Source organism: Homo sapiens, chromosome 12, assembly GCF_000001405.40.
Source record: "Homo sapiens chromosome 12, GRCh38.p14 Primary Assembly".
NCBI lineage: Eukaryota > Metazoa > Chordata > Mammalia > Primates > Hominidae > Homo > Homo sapiens.
The window spans coordinates 32,148,902-32,172,020 of record NC_000012.12 but is presented as its reverse complement, the minus strand read 5'-3'; the positions used below and the strand labels follow the sequence as shown (position 1 = coordinate 32,172,020).

General features: G+C 41.2%; 1 protein-coding gene across 34 annotated transcripts in view, besides 1 other annotated feature; it reads right to left on the bottom strand.

Moving 5' to 3' along the window:
* BICD1 (BICD cargo adaptor 1) overlaps positions 1 to 23,119 on the bottom strand; it is a 276,787-nt gene that overhangs the window by 211,613 nt on the left and 42,055 nt on the right. The window lies entirely within an intron of this gene.
* Positions 15,726 to 16,227: an enhancer, noted in NCBI's record as "NANOG hESC enhancer chr12:32308728-32309229 (GRCh37/hg19 assembly coordinates)". NCBI's record gives its function as "activates a minimal SCP1, AML or CMV promoter by ChIP-STARR-seq in naive H9 embryonic stem cells {active_cell/tissue: H9 hESC(naive)}" and the evidence as "EXISTENCE:reporter gene assay evidence [ECO:0000049][PMID:30033119]".

The window sequence follows — 23,119 nt, the reverse complement described above, 5'->3', positions numbered from 1 at the left end:
ACTGTATAATGCTCAATGTCAGCAGTTTTAGTGTGTGTGTGTGTGTGTGTGTGTGTGTGTGTGTGTGTGTGTGTGTGTGTATTTTTTGAGACCAAGTCTTGCTTTGTTACCCAGGCTGGAGTGCAGTGGCATGATCTTAGCTCAGGGCAACCTCCGCCTCCTGGGTTCAAGCAATTCTCCTGCCTCAGCCTCCCAAGTAGCTGGGACTACAGGTGCACGCCACCATGCCCAGCTAATTTTTACATTTTTAGTAGAGACCGGGCTTCACCATGTTGGCCAGACTGGTCTCCAGCTCCTGACCTAGAGTGATCCATCCGCCTCGGCCTCCCAAAGTGCTGAGATTATAGGTGTGAGCCACTGTGCCTAGCCTAGTTTATAATTTTTTAAACATAAATATAAAAACCACCAACAAAGAAAAGCACTCATATTGCCATCTCAGTCATAGCAGGACTGTGGCATAGCCTTACTGTGTACTCCAGACAAGGTGCCCCAACTGAGGAACCACAGAAGAAGAACGCCCTGAAGGCTGTGTCTGCAGACTTGAAGTGATAAGGAAAGGAAAGCATCACCATCTAGCTCTGCATAAGAATACCTAGTGCCACGCTCCCCAGGATCCTAATTTACAATGTGATTCCATTTTTAAAACAACAGCAAAGCTTTATTTCCAGGTCCCACAGCATCGCCTTCGGGGCCCAGCTGTGACTCCAAGACCAGGCTGGCAGTCCTGCCACGCCCTGGAACACTGGCAGAGGGAAAAGGGCATGGGACACCAGGCATGTGTTACTAAGTCTCCCACCTGATCGTGACGTGTGTCGCCTCTGTTCACATTTCATAGGCCCAAACAAGTCAAGTAACCATGTCTGCTTTCAACAGGCGGGAATGTAGAATTTCTCTATTGAGAGGCATCCCCAGGAGGAGCAGTAAACTTCTAAGAACGGTCTATCATAATAGACATCTTTGTCTTGTTCTCAGTTTTGAAGGGAAATTTCTCATCATTTTGCTATATTTTAAGAATGAATTTGGGCAATTAAATATTAAATCTTATATTTGAAGGTCAGGTCACAAACTCCCTGGAGTCTGAAAAATGACAGGATTGGCTAGATCAGGGCTTCTCGTCCTCGGCAGTAGTGACATGCTGGTGTGGGGGCTGTCCTGTACACTGTCGGGTTCTTGGCAGCTTTCCTGACCTCCATCCCTAGAAGCCAGTAGCACCCACCTCAGTTGTGACCAAAAATATCTCCGGAAATAACCAAATGTCTCCCTGGTTGAGAATCACTGGACCAGATAATCTCTAATGTCATTTCAAACTCTGAAATTCAATGCTCCACTAATCTCTCCTCAAACTGATAAGACCCTTTGCCAAATTTTGGTCACATAAAATTATGCCAGCCCAAGAACTCTACAATCCGTACAGTGGCATTGTGTAAAAAAGACTTCACCTGCTGAGGACATAGAATCTAGATCCATGAGCCTTCTAATACGCTAACTACAATTCTATAACCTTTAAAGAGTTGAGTACAATGCAGAGAAATGACTAAATAATATTGTTGTAGAAGGTGAGGAATCAGGTCTTTTTATATAAGTAATGTTTAGGCTCTGGCCCAAGAAGGTTTTGTTCATAAGTGGCTCAGACATATTTTATTTATTGAATGTATATCCTGCCTCATTCCAAAAAGCATTTAAGGCAGCTTACAAAGAGGCATACAAAATAAAATGGAAAGGAAGTAAGAAAAATAGGGGGAAACAGGTAAGGAACAGAGAAAACAAATATTCCAATCCAAAAAGTCAATACCATTTCTGTGACTCTAGCAGTTATTTTTTCTTTTTCAGAGCATGAAACTGAGCTCAGAATTTCAGGATGCCTAAGAGAAAGTTGGAAATAAAATAATTAATTTGCCTTCTCAGAGAAGGGAATTATTTGCTAGTGAAACAAGGTTTTTCTTAGGATTAAACTCAGGGACAGGTTTCATGTGGGCCCTGTGTGGGGAACAAGTGTGAAAAGGACCCGTGTCAACTCCACATTCTCGCCTCTACAGTGTCACAGCTAAGCCTGTTCTTATATGAACTTTAAATACAATTTAAAAGCATAACTTTGAAACACAGTTTGGTGAAAGTGTATCTTGGGGGCCAGGCGCAGTGGCTCATGCCTGTAATCCCAGCACTTTGGGAGGCTGAGGCCAAGTCAGGAGGATCACTTGAGCCCAGGAGTTCAAGACCAGCCTGGGCAACACAGTGAGACTCTGTCTCAAAAAAAGGAAGTGTATCTTTGGAAGCTAAAGCCACATGGGTAGAACTTTTTAACAAAAGCTGTCCAGCGACCTAGGTTATCAAAGGATAATATATCATTTTCCTACAGAAATAATTTTTCAAAGTGTGGTTAGCAGAGAAAACTTTTCTTCAAAGAGAACCTTCTAGAAAAGTCTAGTATATAAAATGGGTCCAGGCTGGGCACAGTGGCTCACGCCTGTAATCCCAACACTTTGAGAGGCCGAGGCGGGAGGATCGCTTGAGCCCAGGAGTCTGAGACCAGCCTGGGCAACATAGCAGAGAGCTCGTCTCTACTAAGAAAAAAAAAATTAATGGAAAAAATGGGTCCAGGCCAAGCTGCTTCTTCCCTTCCTTTCACTCTCTCCCCTCCTCAGAAGGCCTCAGAAGGAGAACTGAATTCTCCTGTGGCAGAATTCAAAAGCCACTAGCCTGAAAATAAAACTTCAAATACCTAGAAAAGATTCAACAGTTCAATAAATATTTATTGTGCTAAGTATCAGAGTAGGTAAATTTTATCTATTATTTTTCTTGAAAATAATTTTTCCATTGATCTTTTTACGAGATAATTAACCGTTCCAGGTACAATTCCCCATCAGAGCCTGAGTGCTCACTGAACCCAGATCCTTAAACTCCACAGAGTTAATCACAGAGCCCACCTTCTACTACAGAAACTAAAGCTCCTGAGCAGATTCCATGCAGGGGCAAGGCTGTCCCATCTCCTCACAACAGATGGGCACAAAGCAAGGGTTTTTCTCAATGGTCAATTTTGGGTTTGTTTGTTTGTTTGTTTGAGATGAAGTTTCGCTCTTGTTGCCCAAGCTGGAGTGCAATCGCGCGATCTCGGCTCAATGCAACCTCCGCCTCCCGGGTTCAAGCGATTCTCCTGCCTCAGCCTCCCGAGTAGCTGGGATTACAGGTACCCGCCACAAACACCTGGCTAATTTTTGTATTATCAGGGTTTCACCATGTTGGCCAGGATGGACTCAAACTCCTGACGTCAGATGATCCACCTGCCTTGGCCTCCCAGAGTGCTGGGATTACAGGAGTGAGCCACCGTGCCTGGCCCTCAAGGGTCAACTTTGGATACACAGTGGACCCGATTAAGAGAGTGGTTCACATCCCAAGTTCCTGCCTTGCTCAGCATGGCTGAGACAGTTTGGGCCTGAAATGTTTTCAGCACAAATGTTATCAGTGATCGACCGCTGTTAGGACTTTCTGGTTCCTGTTCTCAGGCAACTGTTCTCACCTCAATCTCAAGGACACCCAACCCCACCCTCCCATCCTTTTCCCATGAAGCCCGGGTTGAAACCACTGAGCAGTTGGCTTCCATGCCTTGCCCTGGACCCTCATCTGCTTTTGCCCCTTAGTATGAACTGAGGGTCTTCAAAGAAATGACTCACCCAAGCCAAGTCTCACCATGTGAGTAGAAAACAAGAAACAAAACAAAATAAAAACACAGAACACAATCCAGTGTAATTGAACAAATATAGAACTAATTAATTTAGAGCAATCTGGTATTTCCCAGTTTACACAAGCAGTTTACATGTTAGAGAATGTCTACCAAAATTACCTTTATCAAAGTTGTGTTTTCCTTCTTTGCAAAAGATTGAAAAATAGAAATTTAAAAATATATCCAACTTTCAATCATAGTAACAAGCACTTATATAGGGCCTACTATGAGCCAGGCTTTGTTTAGGGATGAGATACACAAGTATACACACACACACACACACACACACACACACGCCATCTCCTTTTAACCTTCATGTTACCTGTTGAGGACATTATTCCTTTTTCAAAGATGAGGAAAATAATCACAAGGAAGTTAAGAAACTTCACTGAAGTCAAAAAGCTAGTTAGCGGTAGGGCTGAGATTTGGTACAAGGAAGCCTGGCTCCAGAATCTGTGCTGTTAACCACAACACAAAGCTGTTTCTGGGTTTCCCTCAATCACTTAGCACCCAGCAATAGGGAAATCCCTGTCAAATAAGAATGATAGGCCAGGCGCGGTAGGTCACACCTGTAATCTCAGCACTTTGGGAGGCCAAGGTGGGCAGATCACCTGAGGTCAGGAGTTTGAGACCAGCCTGACCAACATGGTGAAGCCCCATTTCAACCAAAAATACAAAAATTAGCCAGGCATGGTGGCATGCGCCTGTAGTCCTAACTACTTGGGAGGCTGAGGCAAGAGAATCACTTGAACCCAGGAGGCAGAGGTTGCAGTGAGCTGAGATCTCACCACTGCACTCCAGCCTGGGCGACAGTGCAAGACTCCGTCTCAAAAATTAAAAAAAAAAGAATGATTCTCAGCCACTTCCCAGTTATTGCTATGTGCTCATAGAAAAAGAAACAATTTTAAAGTCTAAGCAAAACACAAATATGTATGAATAAGTTCAGCAAAAACAAATCCTATCATCCAGTCTATCATAAATGCATCATTGCTTTGCTATCTCAGAATATTGATAAGCAATTTATTTTTCATTTTTATTTCATTCTAATAACAGAAAGCCACAGCATTCCACACACTCATGAGTTAGGTAATAGCTGAAAATATCTGATTATTTCATGATCTAGATAATCTAAACTTGACTCTGGAAAATAGAAGGGAACATTTAGAATTTATAATATAGAATCAGAAGCTTCCTGAATCGACTTAAAACAAGTGAATTATGTTATTATAAAGGCAATACGTGTTATGGTGGAAAAATTTAAAATCTAGGAAACAAAGTTAAAACCCATTACCCAAGGATAACCAATGCAAACATTGTGTGTGTATCTTTTCAATTTTATTTCTATGTTGATACTAGCTACCACTTATTGGGCATCTAAAGATTGTCAGGCACCATGCCACATCCTTACTGATGTTTTCTTATTCAATTTTCACCAAAACCTATAAGGCAAGAGACACTATTATGCCCTCTTTTTTGTAACTGAGTCTTAGAGAGGTTGAGAACTTGCCTTCGGTCAAGGATTCCAATCTGGGACTACATACGGTACAGGGATTACTGATGCTATGATCTCACTGAGACAGGCGCCTGTCTGTAATCCCACATCAGGCACTGTGCTTGGTAGAGGCTTACAAATGTGGACAGCTTTATTCTCCCCTAGTCTTATCCCTTTTATTCATTTAAATACAGGTTATCAGGTTTACTTTAACTCAAGCTTTCTCAGCCTGGGCACTACCGACATTTGAGACTGGATGATTCTTTCCTGTTGGCTGTCCTGTGCAGTGTAGGATGGTTAGCAGCACCTCTAGCTTCTACCCACTAGATGCCAGAAGCATCCCCCCAGTTGTGACAATCAAAAATGTCTCCAGATAGCCTGGCGCGGTGGCCCACACCTGTAATCCCAGCACTTTGGGTGGCGGAGGCAGGTGGATCACCTGAAGTCAGGAGTTTGAGACCAGCCTGACCAACGTGGTGAAACCCCGTCTTTACTAAAAATACAAAAATTAGCCAGGCATGGTGGCAGACGCCTGTAATCCCAGCTACTTGGGAGACTAAGGCAGGAGAATCGCTTGAACCCAGGAAACAGAGGCTGCAGTGAGCCGAGATTGCGCCACTGCACTCCAGCCTGGGTGACAGAACGAAACGCTGGCTCCAAAAAATAAATAAATAAATAAATAAATAAATAAATAAATAAATAAATGTCTCCAGACATTGCCAAATGTCCCAGGGAGAAGGAGTAAAACAGCTCTGAACTGAGAAGTATGGCAGTTTAATAAAATCTCTACAATCTCTGCTTCATAGTATGATCAACATGGTCTGTTCACTGAGATAGGCCTTTTTCGTAATTCACAGAAACAACTCAAGAAAGAGTAACAATAATTTTCCACTTAGAATGAGCCCCTTTAGGACTCCTGAACAGTTCCACAGGTACTTCTCTATGGTTTTGAGGTGTTCTGCATTGTTTTATCATGTTTTGCTTTTGAACAGATGAATCCTTGCACATCTTCAAACCCGCTGAGTTGGAAATGAGTTTGAGGCAAGGTTTCGTTGCCTAAAACCAAATCCTCTTGATAAATGAGTTTTGACAGAGCATCAACTCAAATACTTTTTTTTTTTTTTTTTTGAGACAGAGTCTGGCTCTGTCACCAGACTGTAGTACAGTGGCGCATCTCAGCTCACTGCAATCTCCGACTCCCTGGTTCAAGCAATTATCTTGCCTCAGCCTCCCGAGTAGCTGGGACTATAGGCACGCACCACCACGCCCAGCTAATTTTTGTTTTGTTTTGTTTTGTGACGGAGTCTCGCTCTGTCGCCCAGGCTGGAGTGCAGTGGCTCGATCTCGGCTCACTGCAAGCTCCGCCTCCCGGGTTCGCGCCATTCTCCTGCCTCAACATCCCGAGTAGCTGGGACTACAAGCGCCCGCCACCACGCCCGTCTAATTTTTTTGTATTTTCAGTAGAGACGGTGTTTCACCGTGTTAGCCAGGATGGTCTCAATCTCCTGACCTCGTGATCCGCCCGCCTCGGCCTCCCAAAGTGCTGGGATTACAGGCATGAGCCACCGCGCCCGGCCAACTCAAATACTTTTAAACAAACCTGTCCAGTAAATCCTGGAATCTCTTTTCAAATATCTCTTCTAGTAACTCTAGTCTTTCCCCTCCTAATATTCCATTTTCCTAATCCATCTTTATTGTAATTCCTCTGAGCTCTCATGTGAACCTCAGGCTCTCAAGGAATATTTTGCCCGATTTATCATGGTCCCTTCTGGATCTTTCTCGAGAGACCTCCCTGTGCTTCAGCAAAGCAGAGCAGTGTCAGCTAATTAGGGCAGTGTCAGGCACGGGCATGACCCCAGATGAGCCACTTCACCCGTGCTGTCAGGATGCGCAGTTGTCAGGGAGCTCATTAAAAATAATTTTGATGAAGAGTACAAACACTGACAATTGGCTCCTGTGACCTTCTAAAATCCATTTTACCTCTTGAATGTCTTTCTTCCAGTAGTCACACTGCTTCCTAGAGTGTTAGTGGATTCACTTTTGTCCTTAGAGGCCCTTGAAGAACAATCTTTCTCTTTAACTATCTACGTGCTGTTGAAAGGGGTTTCTGAATCCAGACTGTAATGTGCCCCTTTGACCCTCACAACTAAGGAAAAGATAGGGAGGGACAGGTTATATTTGGCTTTCTCTAAGTACCCTACTTGCCTCCATAACAAATACCATAAAGTTTCATTTACCTGCAGGAAATAATCCCAATCCATTTACTTTCCTCCATGCAGTGGAAATTTTGCAGTCTAAAATACTGAGTAGTTTGACGCCAATAAAAAAGAGAAAGAGACAAAGATAGGATTGCGTGGTAGTAAACTTTCTTTAGTCTTTCACTTTTGAACCATATATTCTGATTTATTTTCAGTTTACAGGGTGGAAAGAACTGATTTTTAAGTGCGCTAATGAGAATTGGGGCATAATAGCATGGCCATTAAAACTGCAAAGATTCCTTAAAAAATATAACAATAAATCAATACCATTGGTAAACAAGATACATTCTATACATTATCAGGATAATTAACACAAGCTGCTATAATAGACAAATCTGTAAGTCTCAATGATTTGACTCAACATCAGTCTAGGTAAAGTTGAAAGTAGACTGGTAGTTCCTCCTCCAACTTATAGCTGTGACATTCGCCATATGCCACTTCTAAGTTCGTTTCACTAAGAGAAGAAGGGAAGAAAGGAAACACACGGGAGATGGAGGCTGCAGTGAGCTATGATTGTGCTGCTGCACTCCAGCCTGGAAGACAAAGTGAGACTCTGTCTTAAAAAACAGAAAATAAAAAAAAAATTTTGAAATTTGATAGTTTTTAATTTTGGCTTTAGCATATTTAGTTGAAAAAGACTAGTCCAAAGCTTCATGAACATCTCTTACACATGTGAAATGATAACGCAGGGGTCTTGGGTTCTGACCATTGGCCTGTGAGTGGTACTAGTGGATTCTGTTCATGGGCCACTGACTCATATCAGTCTCATGATTCTAACTCAACAAAACAGGAAGGCAGGAAATAGAAAGGGCCACATGGAATATTTGGTGAGCACCAGAATCTATGTTCCAAAGACATGACTACAATACTGGAAAACGGGAAACAGCAATTTTTATATTTTTATATTTCATATAATAAAAGACTATCAAGCCATTAAAATGTTTTCCAAGAATATTTAATGGCACAGAAACATGCTCATAATACAGTCTTGAGTGAACAAGCAGGATACCAAACTGAATACATAATGTCTTCCTAAAAAGTAAGGATATGCAAGAAAAACACTAGAGGAAAATATCACTTTGCTACCAACAGCCCTGTAGAGTGGGATTATAGGTGATTTAATGTTATTCTCTATACACTTGTTTATTGTCAAATTCTCCACAATAAACATGTATTAGTCTTATAATAAAAATATTATTAAAGAAATAAGAATTTATATCATTCAAATAAAACAGAAGTACCTATCCACCTCAGTACCCTAGTACATAATAAACCCTCAAATGCTGCATAAATTAATGAAAAGAAGGCAGGAAGAATTAAATAATAAAATGTTATATGAAAATCTATTATAATGAAAATCGTTCTCAATTTGGGGTTGCTTAGGTGTGGAGCTAATAAAAAGCAAGTAGAAATACTGGAACAATCCTCAGAACTCAAGACCCCTGCGTTATCATTTAACATGTGTAAGAGATATTCATGAGGCTTTGGAAGAGTCCTTTTCAACTAAATATGTTAAAACCATAATTTAAAATTATAAAATATCAAATTTTTTATTTTTTATTTTTTTAAGACAGAGTCTCACTTTGTCTCCCAGTCTGGAGTGCAATGGCACAATCATAGCTCACTGCAGCCTCCACCTCCCAAACTCAAGCAATCCTCCTGCCTCAGCCTCCTGAGTAGCTGGGACCACAGGCACATATCACTACGCCTGGCTAATTTTTTTGTTTGTTTTTAGCAGAGCAAGGTCTTGCTATGTTGCCCAGGCTGGTCTCAAACTCCTGAATTCAAGCGATCCTCCTGCCTCGGTCTGCCAAAATGCTGGGTTTACAGGCATGAGCCACCATACCCAACCTCAAATTTTAATTTTTAATTAAAGAATCTCCGTTTCCTGCCAGGAAAACAAAAATTTGAAGAATAAGGATTGGAAGTATAATAGCTAACCTCTATTGATGAATTACCATTAGCCAGGCACTCTGCTAGGCATATCGTACTGTTTTTCTTATTTATTCCTCAAAGCCATATTTTGAAGAAAGATGATACCCATTTTATAGATATGGAAATGGATTCCCATAGAGGTGGAAGAGGATTTGACTTCAGACAGCATCACTCTGGAGCCCATACTTAATCACTGCCTCATGTCATTTATCCATGTCAGTTATTTTTTGGCACTGAAAAATCTTCGCCTATATTACATTCTTCCAAAGACTGTTAATGGAATGTAAGCTTTAAGGAAGTAGAATAGATACAGTAGATTGGCACTCAACATCCATTCCAACTTCTTTCTGTAAGCCTTCTTTCCAGCAGAGGCTGGAATATTAAAACCTGCACATTTCATACTCCTTTGCAGCTACATTTCTGAGGGTGGTTTAGAATCCACCAATCAGACACATGCCTGTGGGATTACAAAGGGGGATGTGAGACCGAGGGATGGCTGTTGCTGCCATCAAGCCTGCTCACGAAGGCACTTCCCTTCTCTGTGATGGTGCTACCAGAAGTTGCAGTGTCCATTCCCTTACTTCATGGGTGCTGACGGGTATGGTAAGGGGCATTCCTTTGCTGGTTCTGGAACCTGCGAAAGTATCTGCAGTTTCCTGATCTTGACAGCTTTTTTTTATTATGGCAGTGTTGGTATAACTCTAAAACTGGCAGCTTCCCAATATGAGAAAATTGAACAAAAATTCATGAAAAGTTAGAAAATTATTCAAAAAATATTCATCCAGTGCCTTCTATGCCAGGTGATAGACATGGCATAGAATGACAAATACAATGACAAGTAAAATATATACTTCCCTGCACTTAAGAAGCTTACAGTCTAGTTGAGGAAGCAGAAATTAACAAAATAACTATATGAATTCAATTCTGATTATATTTACAATCTCTGATTGCTCTTCAAGTTCTGCCTGCTTCCATTACATCTTATTCCCTGGGCAGTGGATACCATCAGGCATTTCTAGAATTCACAATTCACTGAATGTTTGGTCCACTTTATTGATCTTAACCTTCAAACTATGGTAAGTTATGATCAGGAGTTTAGATATCAAATAAAGACAAATTGAAACTGGTAACGATAACAATGTAAAACATCCAAGACTTTCTCGGCCAATGGCTATAATTCAACAATTACGGTTAAGTAAAACTGTTCTCTCCTAAAGATGAAGAAAAAAATACAATCATGATGTCAGTGCTGTGGAAATAATTGGTCATATTGACATACCATTAACGGAGTCTGTGTCTCTGGTTGAATCATATTGATTTCACTAATGTTCTTTCTAGTGTCAGCTCCCTTTCATTTGTTATACGGCATGCCATCTTTCAGCCTGGAGAGATTACTACTCAGCACTATGATGGGCAATGATTTGACAAGGAGTGTTTTCAGGCTAAGATCTTTTACCATGTTGGGGGCTCAGTAAGTCATGTTAAAGATTGCATTTAGGTGAGTCTCAAGACATAATGACATTTATATCACTTTTCTTTCCGGATCTGAAGAAGTTATAGGCAATATTAGATATTAGTGTGTCATTAAGGCTTCCAGACTAAAGGTTAAGATATTGCTCAGAGAGCCACAGAGTTAACCTATTCTGTATAAATGTGTGTTTTTAATGAAGTTAGATATTTACAAGGTTATATCATAGTCTTGCTGCACATAAAGCAAATTTAGATAGTGCTTAAGTACAATTGAAATATTATCTACCTTCATGTGTTAAGTTTTAATAAGAGGGGAAAAAACAAAACACACATGTGTGTATCTGTGTATGTGTGTATGATACCTGAAACTTAATAAAAAATGTTTCAACAGTCACAAACAGGAATATCTACCCACCTTACTACCTTGTATATAATAAACCCTAAATTGCTGCATGAATGAATGAATATAAGACAGAAAAGCAATTTTAAGGGGCACCACTGTATTTCAAGATGATTCAGATTTTCATATCAGATGATAAGGAATAAAAGTAATTTGAATCAGTTAGCTCTTATTTACCACACTTGATACTGAAAAACACTTTCCACCTGGTTTTCAGACTGTATTGAGGCTCCATTAAAAAAAAAAAAGTGAGGCACTTCCATTTCAAGATAAATGAACATTGCCTCTCCAAGAGTGGTTACATTTATTTTAGCCATATTTGTGGAAATATTTCTAAAGTATACAATAGAATTTTTAAGCTAGCTTAGCTAACGATGGCTTTACATTTTAAAGATAAAACCTTTTCTTAACAACCTGGAGAATTATAAACATCTTGTCAAAACAGGCCATGGAAGGCATGCTAGCAGAGATTCCCTTGCTGTGGGGACATCTCTAAGGGATTAGCCGAGGCTGCCTGGCAAAGGTGGGCTTGGTTCCAGAAGTGAACAATATCCAGAGTGAGCTATTCCAGTAGCTGGGACATGGCCGTGGGAGGGGTAGCAGCTACCATTTGCTGAATACTAAGTATGTGCCAGACTAAACCACATGCTAAGTATGTGTTAGATGCCATATGCGTCATCTAAGGGCACAACAACAGGATATTATTATCCCTATTTTGTGGGTGAGAAATTTGAGGCTTAGAGAGTTAAATATTTGCTGAGAGTGAATATGAACTAGGAAATGGTGGAGACCAGATTCAAACCTCAGGCTGTCAGGCCCAAACCATCCTAAAGAAGGAAAGCTCTGGGTCCAAGGCAGGCAGTTTTGTAATTTCTCTTGAAGGAGAACCCAAACTACAGGTAGAAATTAATTGTCTTCTTTCCTCTCCAGGAAGGGTATGGCAAGATAAGTGGAGAAGAACGTTAAGGCACCAGGTAAACAGGTGGGAATCCAACCAGAGCCCCAGTTCAGGAGGATGGTCAACATGATGACTCTGGCTTGGGGACACAAACACCCAGTAATGACGGACACACCAAATACCGGGTCTCTGGCAGCCAAACAATTCCAGAATCGCACCTGCTGGCGAACTGATTCTCTCTGCACATTTCTCGCCAGAACGTTCCTTTGGGACCAAGTGGTTGGTGCTGTATTAATAGACAAAGGATAGTAGTGGCTGAAGCTGAACAGGACTGAGAGGACACAGTTCTTACACCATGCTATTATAGTGATGCCTGAAAGGGGTCCTGGGATGTGCAGTGTGTTATTGTGTCTTCCTTAAATAGCCCCAGACAACTATGCTTTTTATAGTATTTCTCTCTTCCATCCCTCATGGCCTACTAGTAGTCACTTTTTGCTGTCAGCATGCCTGAAGAGCAGATTCTGTGTCCCCTACTCTCTCCACATGGCTTCTCAAAAAAATACACATCTTCGCAGCTAGTTTATATGCTAGGAAACCGATAAATCAAACGTTTGATGAGCCAGGTGCGGTGGCTCACGCCTGTAAATCAGCACTTTGGGAGGCCAAGGTGGGTGGATCACATGAGGTCAGAAGTTCGAGACCAGCCTAGCCAACGTGATGAAACCCCGTCTCTATTAAAAATACAAAAATTAGCTGGGCATGGTGGTGCGCGACTGTAATTCCAGCTACTCGGGAGGCTGAGGCAAGAGTATTGCCTGAACCCGGGAAGCGGAGGTTGCAGTGCGCTGAGATTGTGCCACTGCATTCCAGCCTGGGCGACAGAGCGAGACTCCATCTCAAAAAAAAAAGTTTGATGGCGTACAAATAACCATACAAGTTATTGGCCCCCCTTTCACGCACTCACTCAACAAGCATTTCTTAAGCATGCTTAATCAAGAGTGGCAAGTGCTGTGCAAGGCCCTAGGAAAACAAAACCAAAGAACACAATTTTTGCCTTTGAAGGGCTCACAAACCAATGGAGATGGAGAGGTGGGAATGTAAATTTCACACTGCAGGATGCAGCAGAGGTTCTAACAAAGCTCTGCATAAGTGTGAAAGCCACATGAGAAGGAAGCAAAGCCATTCATGAGAATCACAGATGACTGTCCACAAATAAAGTACATGGGCTTCTCTCCACACAGGAAGAGGGAGCAAGTCTGCCACCTTCAGAGTTCCAAGAAAAAGAATAGCTAATATTTGTTGAGTGTTTCCTATATACCAGAGGTATTCTTTCCACATATTAACTCACTTAATTTTTTTTTATTTTAAATTTTTAAATTTTTCTTTTTTATACAGGCAGGGTCTCACCGTGTCGCCCAGGCTGATCTCAATTCCTGGGCTTGGGCCAGGCACGGTGGCTCACGCCTGTAATCCCAGCACTTTGGGAGGCCAAGGTGGGCAGATCACTGGAGGTCAGAAGTTCAAGACCAGCCTGGCCAACATGGCAAAACCCTGTCTCTACTTAAAAAGTACAAAAATCAGCCGGGCATGGGGGTGGGCGCCTGTAATCCCAGCTACTCAGGAGGCTGAGGCAGGAGAATCGCTTGAACCCGGGAGGCGGAGGTTGCAGCGAGCTGAGATTGCACCACTGCACTCCAGCCTGGGCAACAAGAGTGAAACTCCATCTCAAAAAAAAAAAAAAAAGAAAAAAAAAACCCCTAGGCTCAAATTATCGTCCTGTGTAAGCCTCCCAAAGTGCTGGGATTACAGGTGTGAGCCACTGAGCCCAGCCTCATTTAATTCTTAAGAAAACTTAAAGGTGTTGCTTTTTTAAAAATTTCATTTTACATCTGGAACCTGAGCCACAGAAAAGTTAAGTAATTTGCCCAGGGTCTCACAGCTAATAGTGGGGAGCCAGGACCTAAACAGGCAGTCAAATTCCAAAGACCACACCTTAACCAAGAAACTGTATTACCACCTCCAACCATCAGCACACTGCAGTGAATACGTGGAAACATTTAAAATATGGGAATAGGTTAAAAGTAAAATCTCTAAGGTAAAATTCACTAAGCTTTGGCCAAAGACAGAAAAAAGGGGGAAGAAGAGGAAAAGTAGGAAACCAGCTGTCATGCTGAGAGGATGAAGGGAATGGTGGCAAGGAAATTTGGGGTTAGGTGGCCCCTGCAACCACCCAACAGGTATCCTTGGGCACCCAGGAATCTTGGTAGCTTCCAGAAGAAGCAGAAAGGGTGGAGAGCACCCTTGATTGATCACTTTTAGTATTTACACATAGAGTATGTGGACCTCTGTTTGCCTGCTTGCTCCAGCCCCCCAGAATCTTTAGGAATGTGTCTGAAAATTTGTTAATACAAAGTATCCAAAAGTAATCATAATAATACACCTGCATTTGCTCTACCAACATTTCATCCCTTCAATAGAGGGTAAACTCCTTGGCATTTGTACAAATGGGACTGGATTCTTCATTAACGTCTGCATCTATAATAAAGGGTAGTATTAAAAGACATGCATTAAAAAATTAAATTCAAATTGACACACAAAAGTAGGGATCAAGTACTTATCTCTGAAAATAAGACTCTGGACTTAATTATAATAGACAAGAGTAATTTCTAGACAGTTTCATCTCCTGAATCAATATCAAATATTTTCAAAACTTGTACCATTAACATCCAATTTTATTATTTTTTAAGCCTATGAAAACCAGACCTTTGATTTAGAAAAATAATAACGAGCACATGTAATTATGCCAGTAATTATATCCCAGGCAACAGTTCAAAGTGTTGTATATTTACTAACTCATTTAGTATATGCTTATATGTGTATGTATGTGTTATAAAATGTATGTGTGTTATACATATATATATGAAAAACAATTTTACAGAATTTTCCTGTTTGGAGAGGAGAATTCAAACAGTTGGAATGTTTCTTGACCACTAGTAATTTTCAAATAATATATGAAGAACATAAAATGCAGCTTTGCCTGCTTCTAGGATTGTTCCAAGCAGTTCTCTTGGCTGATCTAAACATGAGTGTTCTGCAATACACACATCTCCTCCGTGGGGTAAATAATACCAAGCATAGGGATGCCATCATGGCACTATTTCAAAATGTAAACTTGACAGCCAGTTAACAGCTCTTCAGGAAAGAGTAATAAGTACCTGGAGCCCAGAAGACCAAAAAGCAAATGTCAGAATTTTAGGGGAAATGATCTAGGTTGCTCCCAAAATGCTGTTCACGGTGATCTCCCAGAGAGTGCCTCATTCTGAGTCAATATAACCCTAATGTGCTTTCCTTCAATTACTGTAAGCATATCCTGAGATTTCAGTAATGTGACAGCTGGTAACCTGAGCCCCAACTAAGACTGCCCTCGGCTATATCTCTTTATTAATTCATCCCGGGAGCTGGAATTGAGCTATGCTGAGGAGCAGAGAAAGTGGCATTGTGTCCTCCCTGACAAAGCAGGGCAAGTGCAGGCACCTCACACACAGAGGTATGTTTGTCCCACCATTCAAACAGAGCTGCTTGCCTGCTGCCTGAACTGTAGCGTGCCTTGACACTGCATATGAAACGCTGGAGGAGCAATAATATCTATGTGTGCAATTTTATTGCAAAAAGGCCTGATTCTGCTGTTGTCTCTTTACAAATGTCTGATAATCCACTCCTGTCACAGACTGACAAGAGCTGCTACTTCATTTCCAGCTGTTGGGGAATACCTCAGGAGAATACTTATCTCTCAATGGGCAGCAACAGCAGGGCTATTTCAAGACCTCACTCCATTGTAAAGGTGTTATGTGTCCACACAGATCTATAAATCACCATGCAACATCTTTCCAGAAGTATGTGCTGGTCTGCAGAATTGCTAGATATGTCCAGGTGGGCTGGGATCACTGGAAAGGCCTGGTACATCTTGCCTGACAGCTAATTTAAATGGCTCTTTTAGGGTTACGTGTCATAAGAAAGGGGGAGATAACTTTAAAAGATTATAAATCACTTTTATAAAACCACTTAATGTAAATGACTATATCTTAATATCTTAACAAATGTTGCTCCCAATTTTTTTTATGTTTTAATGCAACTGAAATCTGAAAGCATTTTCTTATTTTCCCTTTTTTTCTTTCAGGCAATTTGAGGCACAAACAAGTGTAAAAACCAAGGAAAGGTGCAGCTGCTTTGCTATTATATAGCAACAAAAGCGATCTCTTTGTATTTTACAAGAACTTTCCTTTCTCTGTAGCATTTTGTTTTACAATAAACAAGTATTTTTGACTTTGAGATGTTCTTACTTCAAGGAAGACGGCTGTACTTTAATCTGTGAGAAACCTAAAAGATGAGTGCCTGAACTAGATATCATGATTTTAAAAATTTAGCTGAAATCCTCAGCCTATTAAAGGTTCAATTTGAATCTCCATAGCTGGACAGCTGAAATTCTCCTTTTTGCATATCAATTAGATTTAGTCTCTCTACCTTATGGCATTACCATTCACAGATGGTTACTCCAGGGATGGATGCATTTCAGTAACAGTTTGAAATGCCCCTGGGTAATAACAAGTGTAAATGATTGCTTGTGCCGTTGAAATAATGCAATAAGACTGTCAGTGGCCGATGGAGTACAGCTGTGGACGAAGTCTACACTTGCTTCTAGGGCCTTATCTACACTGTGGATTTAAAAACTTAAAATACATTTATTAACTGCAAAAATAATAAATGTCATTCAAATAACTGGATTTTTTTAAAACCACAACTTACTGAAAAAAAAAAGCAGCACTTCAGAGTAAAAAAAGCAAAAAGGTTGACTTCACAGATGCTTATTTTTCTGTCTAATTGCAGAAACAATGTGGGGTAAAATGTTTGAATCAGAGGAAAAACTGACGAGGGATCATTTTAATTGGATACAGGATAAAGCAGGAGGTTTATCGACAACCCATCAATAAAGATACCATTTAGTGTATGATTAAGGTGACTTTGAGTACCAGGCTATGCTAGATTTTGTACAGGATACCAAAGACATTCCTCCTCCTAAGAAAATGAACATCTACTTTGATAGAAAAGACTTCATTTATACAAGACAATATATAGTCAAGTATTGGGTTATAAGCAGTAGAGATAAGAGAACAGGAATTTGGAAGGAAAGAACACCACGAGCTACATTCATTGGGAATGCTTGGTGGAAAAGGTGGTTCTCAAGGCAAGTTAAGGAAGAATTTTCAGCAAGACCTGCAAAGTCATAAAAATGAGTACGAATGTGACAGATAAGGAGACACTGGCTGCTCAGAATTCAGGACTCACACCAAGTAATGGTGAGTGCTACATGCCAGACTAAGGAGCTTGACTGTCAAGAGGAGGTTGCTGACAAAAGTGGGAGTTTAAGTGGTGTTTAAAGAACTGATCTAACAGTGGTGGGTAAGAGGCACTGGGAAGAAAACCAGAGCAGTGATTCTTAACCAAGAGCACGTATCAGAATCATCCACGAACAGCTCTCCAATAGACCTCGCCTTTTATTTTTCAAGATTTTCTTGTCACTCCAGAGAGTCTACGGAGCCCAGAACATATACATAAAGTAATAAAAAAAGGGTTAGACCCAAAATATTGAGAACTGGAAAAATCATAATATTAACTTTATCATAATGAACTTAGAGAAGTCCATCAAAAAAATCTTAGAGTTGGGTGAGTCTTTTGTCTGTTTTTTGCCTGCACAGCAATAACTTGTTAGGCAACTGGGTGACATGCTTAATTCTCTCCAAAGTGAGAGTCCCTTTCCCGTCTGCAACTTTATAAAAGCTCATCCCTGGGACTCTCCCAGGAGTATACGACAATAAACAATGTTCACATGGCTACCGCAAGCATTCAGTGATGGTGACCAGACCAGAGTTGGTTAGCCTTGATTCCAACCCCTGATTTCAAGCATTGGAGGGCTAATAAACATCATATATACATGATGTTTATTACATATATATTATATATATTAGATATGTAATATATATGTATTACATATATACACACACACACACACATATATATATATGTACACACACATATATATACAAAGTCTGGCTCTATCACCCAGGCTGGAGTGCAGAGGCACAATCTTGGCTCACTGCAACCTCTGCCTCCCAGACCCAAGCCAGCCTCCCACCTCAGCCTCCTGAGTAGCTGTGACTACAGGTGCACGCCATCATGCCTGGCTAGTTTTGTATTTTTTGTAGAGATGAACTTTCGCCATGTTGCCCAAGCTGGTCTTGAATTCGTGAGCTCCAGTGATCCACCCGCCTTGGCCTCCATCTTAACTGATTTAATGTTCTTGGGTTTCCTCTTCTGCCAGGTGGGCCTTGTTGACTCACTTAACAAGAATAGTTTCAGGTATATATCCGTAAGAAAACAAACCACTCTATTAATACCAAAAAGACAAGGGCACTCACATGTTTATCGCAGCACTATTCACAATAGCAAAGACACAGAATCAATTTAGGTTCCCATCAACAGTGGCTTGGATAAAGAAAATGTGGTATATAAACACCATGGAATTCTATGCAGCCATAAAAAATCAAAATCATGTCCTTTGCAGCAACATAGATGCAGCTGGAGGCCATTATTCTAAGCAAAGAAATGCAGGAAAAGAAAAACAAATACCGTATGTTCTCACTTACAAATGAGAGCTACACATCAGGTACTTATGGACATAAAGATGGCAATACTAGGCACTAGGGATGCCTAGAGGTGAGAGGGAGAGAGGAGAGCAAGGGTTGAAAAACTACTGTATACTATGCTCAGTGTCTGGGTGATGGGACCATTCATACCCAAAACCTCAGCATGACACGATATACCTCAGTAAAAAACCTGCACATGTACCCTCTGAATATAAAGTAAAAGTTGGGGGAAAAAAGAGCAGTTTTGCTACTGAAGCTTCTGGAATGTAACTGAACAACCTTTTCTCAGATCCAGCTATTGGATAAGAAATCAAATCCAGCCATACGTGGCTGTGTACTTCTTTGACTATATTATTATCATATTAAGTAGACTTGATTTCTTAAAAAGAAAATAAAAGGTTATGACATATGCCTATAGAAATAATTCCATAAATAAAAGAATTTATTCTAATGTTGCTCAAATCTCTATGTTTTGAGGGTTGGGCCTCAGCAGCCAAGTTTATATATATAAATGTCTCCCTGGTTATAGAAGAATGGACCAGAAGCAAACACCTGGTCCCTGGTGGGCCAATCAATTTCTCTCTCCCTGACAGCTAGAATTGAAATTTGAAAATACCAGCCTCAGCCAGGTGCATTGGCTCACGCCTGTAATCCCAACACTTTGGGAAGCTGAGGCAGGAGGATCACTTGAGGCCAGGAGTTCAAGACTAGCCTCAGCATCATGGCAAGAAAATTAGCTGAGCATGGTGGCATGCACCTGTAGCCCTAGGTACTTGGGAGGCTAAGACGGGAGGATCACTTGAGCCCAGGAGTTCAAGGTTAAAGTGAGCTATGATCATGCCATGGCACACCAGCCTATGTGACAGAGCAAGACTGTTAAAAAAAAAAAAAAGTTAAAAAAAACTAGTCTCTGCCTGTAATCCCAGCACTTTGGGAGGCCAAGGCAGGTGGATCACCTGAGGTCAGGAGTTCAAGACCAGCCTGGGCAACATGGCGAAACCCCATCTCTACTAAAAATACAAAAATTGGCCAGGCATGGTAGCGTGTGCCTGTAGTCCCAGCTACTCAGGAGTCTGAGGCAGGAGAATCACGTGAACCCGGGAGGCAGAGGTTGCAGTGAGCTGAGAACGCGCCACTACACTCCAGCCTGGGAGACACAGCGAGACTCTGTCTCAAAAAACAAAAACAAAAAACAACAACAACAAAAAAACAAGTCTCTGCTGACTGCTTGAACTGAAGACATCTAGTCTCAGGAACTGTGAAGCCTCCATCTTCCACTATGGCCACAGGGAAGGAGAAAAAGGGAAACTGGGGGTAGGGAAGAAAGAAGCAGATGTGCAGGCAGAGGTAGGGATGCCCTGCAACCACAGATTCCACTCAGGTATTGCTCATATGCCTCAGTGTACTCTGACTCAGTGGCTTTCAGTCCCTGCTCCTCTTCCTTCTGCTGTCCCTGTTATCACCACTGGCATTTCTGTTCCTTTCCTTCTATGTCTCTCCAACTCCCAGAGGGAGGATTTGACCAACTGTGTTTGGTCATCACCCAATATCAAATCAACATAATGTACACTTATAAGCTAGGGATGCCTGAGAACATAACCTTCGATGTATCTATTTAGTGCTTGCAATAAACAGTGTGCCATTTATTGTACTTGGGTTGGCACGTGCATGTCTCCAAATTAATAAGAATGAAAAATGTAAGTGATTTAGCCAAAGCTGTACCATAATCCAGTGATCATATTGCATGCAAGTAATTAACAAGTTGCACCTGGTGAGTAGGAAGGCAGGCAGCCAGAGGCTCCAGAGCCATCAGAAGGGCTGTCAGGGCACAAGACTGCCAAGAAAGAAGGAAAGTGACTGTCTACTGGAAGAATCTGTGCAGGCTCCATCACAGGCAGCTGCAGCTCTGTATGAGGGCCTCTGGGGGAGCTGGGAACCTGTGCTTCTATGTGGGAACATGCTCCACTGTTTCCAGCTTTGTATAGAAATTTCTAATCATATAAATCTCAGTATTCTTGGACATCAAGGAAGTCTTATATTTTTAAGCAACCCTGTCTGCTACCATCTTCCCAACAACCCCACCACCATCTGTTTTGATGCCTACACAGAAGATATAAGCCAGTGGATCCTACATTTTTTTCAAGTATTTGCTGAAATACAAAGATTTATCAAAATTGCTAAGAAGCAGGGTACCATTGATGTTAAGATTACAAGGAAGGGCTATAATGAAAATGACAAGAAAATGCTCGGACAGAAGAGTCAATGAATTTGCCATGAGTCTCACGTGCCTTCTTTACCTGTGGAAGGGGTTCTTGTCTCTGCAATATCTTTGAACAAGAGCCTACAGATTCTTATGTTATTTTTTTTTAAGATATCAGAGTATCATACACTCACCGACATGGACTGACCCAAGGCCCCTGTGTCAGGTTGTGCAGGTCTGCACTGCATAACTTTAAGGGTACCATTTCCATCCCTACTCCCCAAACTTGTGCCACACAGCAGCCCTGGAAGTTACCCGTCTATAGCATGGAAAAGCAAGTACATGAATTCATAGATGTTAACAAGCAGTGCATTTGTAAAGCTAAAAAGAAACATTTTACCTGGTGTCCTTTCAGATCATCAGTCTCTCTGCTCAGTCAAGCACAATTCTTTTAATCCCTATCTTCATCCACTTGTCTCTCTAAAATTGATTGGGCTTCTCCTAGGATCTTCATGTTTGTACAAAGAAAGCCCAAGCTAAATTTTCAAGGTCAAGGAAAAAACATACGCTTTTCCCTGCCTAGATAAAACCTTCAGACAGACCAGAATAATGGACTAGCATTGCTACTGTCCAGATGTTCATGTCCTCCCAAAATTTGTATGTTGGAACCTAAAATCCAATGTGATAGTATTAAGAGGTATGATAGTTGATACAGTTTGGCTGTGTCCCCACCCAAATCTCATCTTGAATTGTAGCTCCCATAATTCCCATGTGTTGTAGGAGGGACCCGGTGGAAGGTAATTGAATCATGGGGACAGGTCTTTCCCATGCCATTCTCATGATAGTGAGTAAGTCTCATGAGATCTGATGGTTTTATAAAGGGGAGTTCTCCTGCACACACCCTCTTGCCTGCTGCCATGTAAGATGTACCTTTGGTCTTCCTTCACCTTCTGCCATGACTGTGAGGCCTCCGCAGCCACCTGGAACTGCAAGTCCATTAAATAAATTACCCAGTCGTGGGTATGTCTTTATTAGCAGCATGAGAACGAACGAATACGATAGTATTACAAGTAGGTGCTCTGCCTTCATGAATGGGATTAGTGCCCTTACAAAAAAGGCTTGAGGGAGGCTGTTTGTTCCCTTTCACCATGTGAGGATGCCATAAGAAGGCACCATCTGTGAAGCAGACAGCAAGCTCCCACCAGACACTGAATCTGCTGATGCCTTGATTTGGACTTCCCAGTCTCCAGAACTGTCAGTTACTCTCTCTTCTTAAGATCACATGACCAGAATTCTCCTAAGTCAGATAGGGTCAATGTTTTGCCTTAATTCCTGACTTGCATCTTTTTAACTCTGACACTAATTTTTCTCTTGGTTCACCTAAGACATCTATAATGTAACTTTATTGTTCTACATTTCAGATCATTTTCTGGCAATGCTTCTTTGACATAGCATACAAATTTTGCAACATGAAGCAATATACATTTCTTGACTTCAAAAAAATATGGTTTCCCCATAATGTATATGAAAACATATCAAAGGTGGGTTACATTATTAAATTCTGTAACTTGTATATTAATAACTTATGAAGTCTATGAATTATTATGTACCAATGATGCAAGAACATACAGCAAAATTAATGCTATCATTCATAGTGGACCCCCTCTATCATCACAGAGAAAATCATTGATGACCAGCACTGACTCCAATATTACCCAAGATCTATATTTAGTATGTCTTTAGGAGCATCATGGTTCCTTATTCAGAGGATGAGATTGTATGGAAATGGCCTATCCCATGCAGTTCAGCACAAGGAGACCCAGTGCAGTACAGGAACAATGTATGAAATGCTTAAAAATGACTATTCATTGCACATTAGAGAATGCCTATGTCACATTTTTACAATTACAGAACTCTTTTTTTTTTTTGGAGACAGAGCCTCACTTCGTCACCCAGGGTGGAGTACAGTGACGTGATCTCGGCTCACTGTAACCTCTACCTCCCGGGTTCAAGTGATTCTCGTGCCTTATCCTCCTGAGGAGCTGGG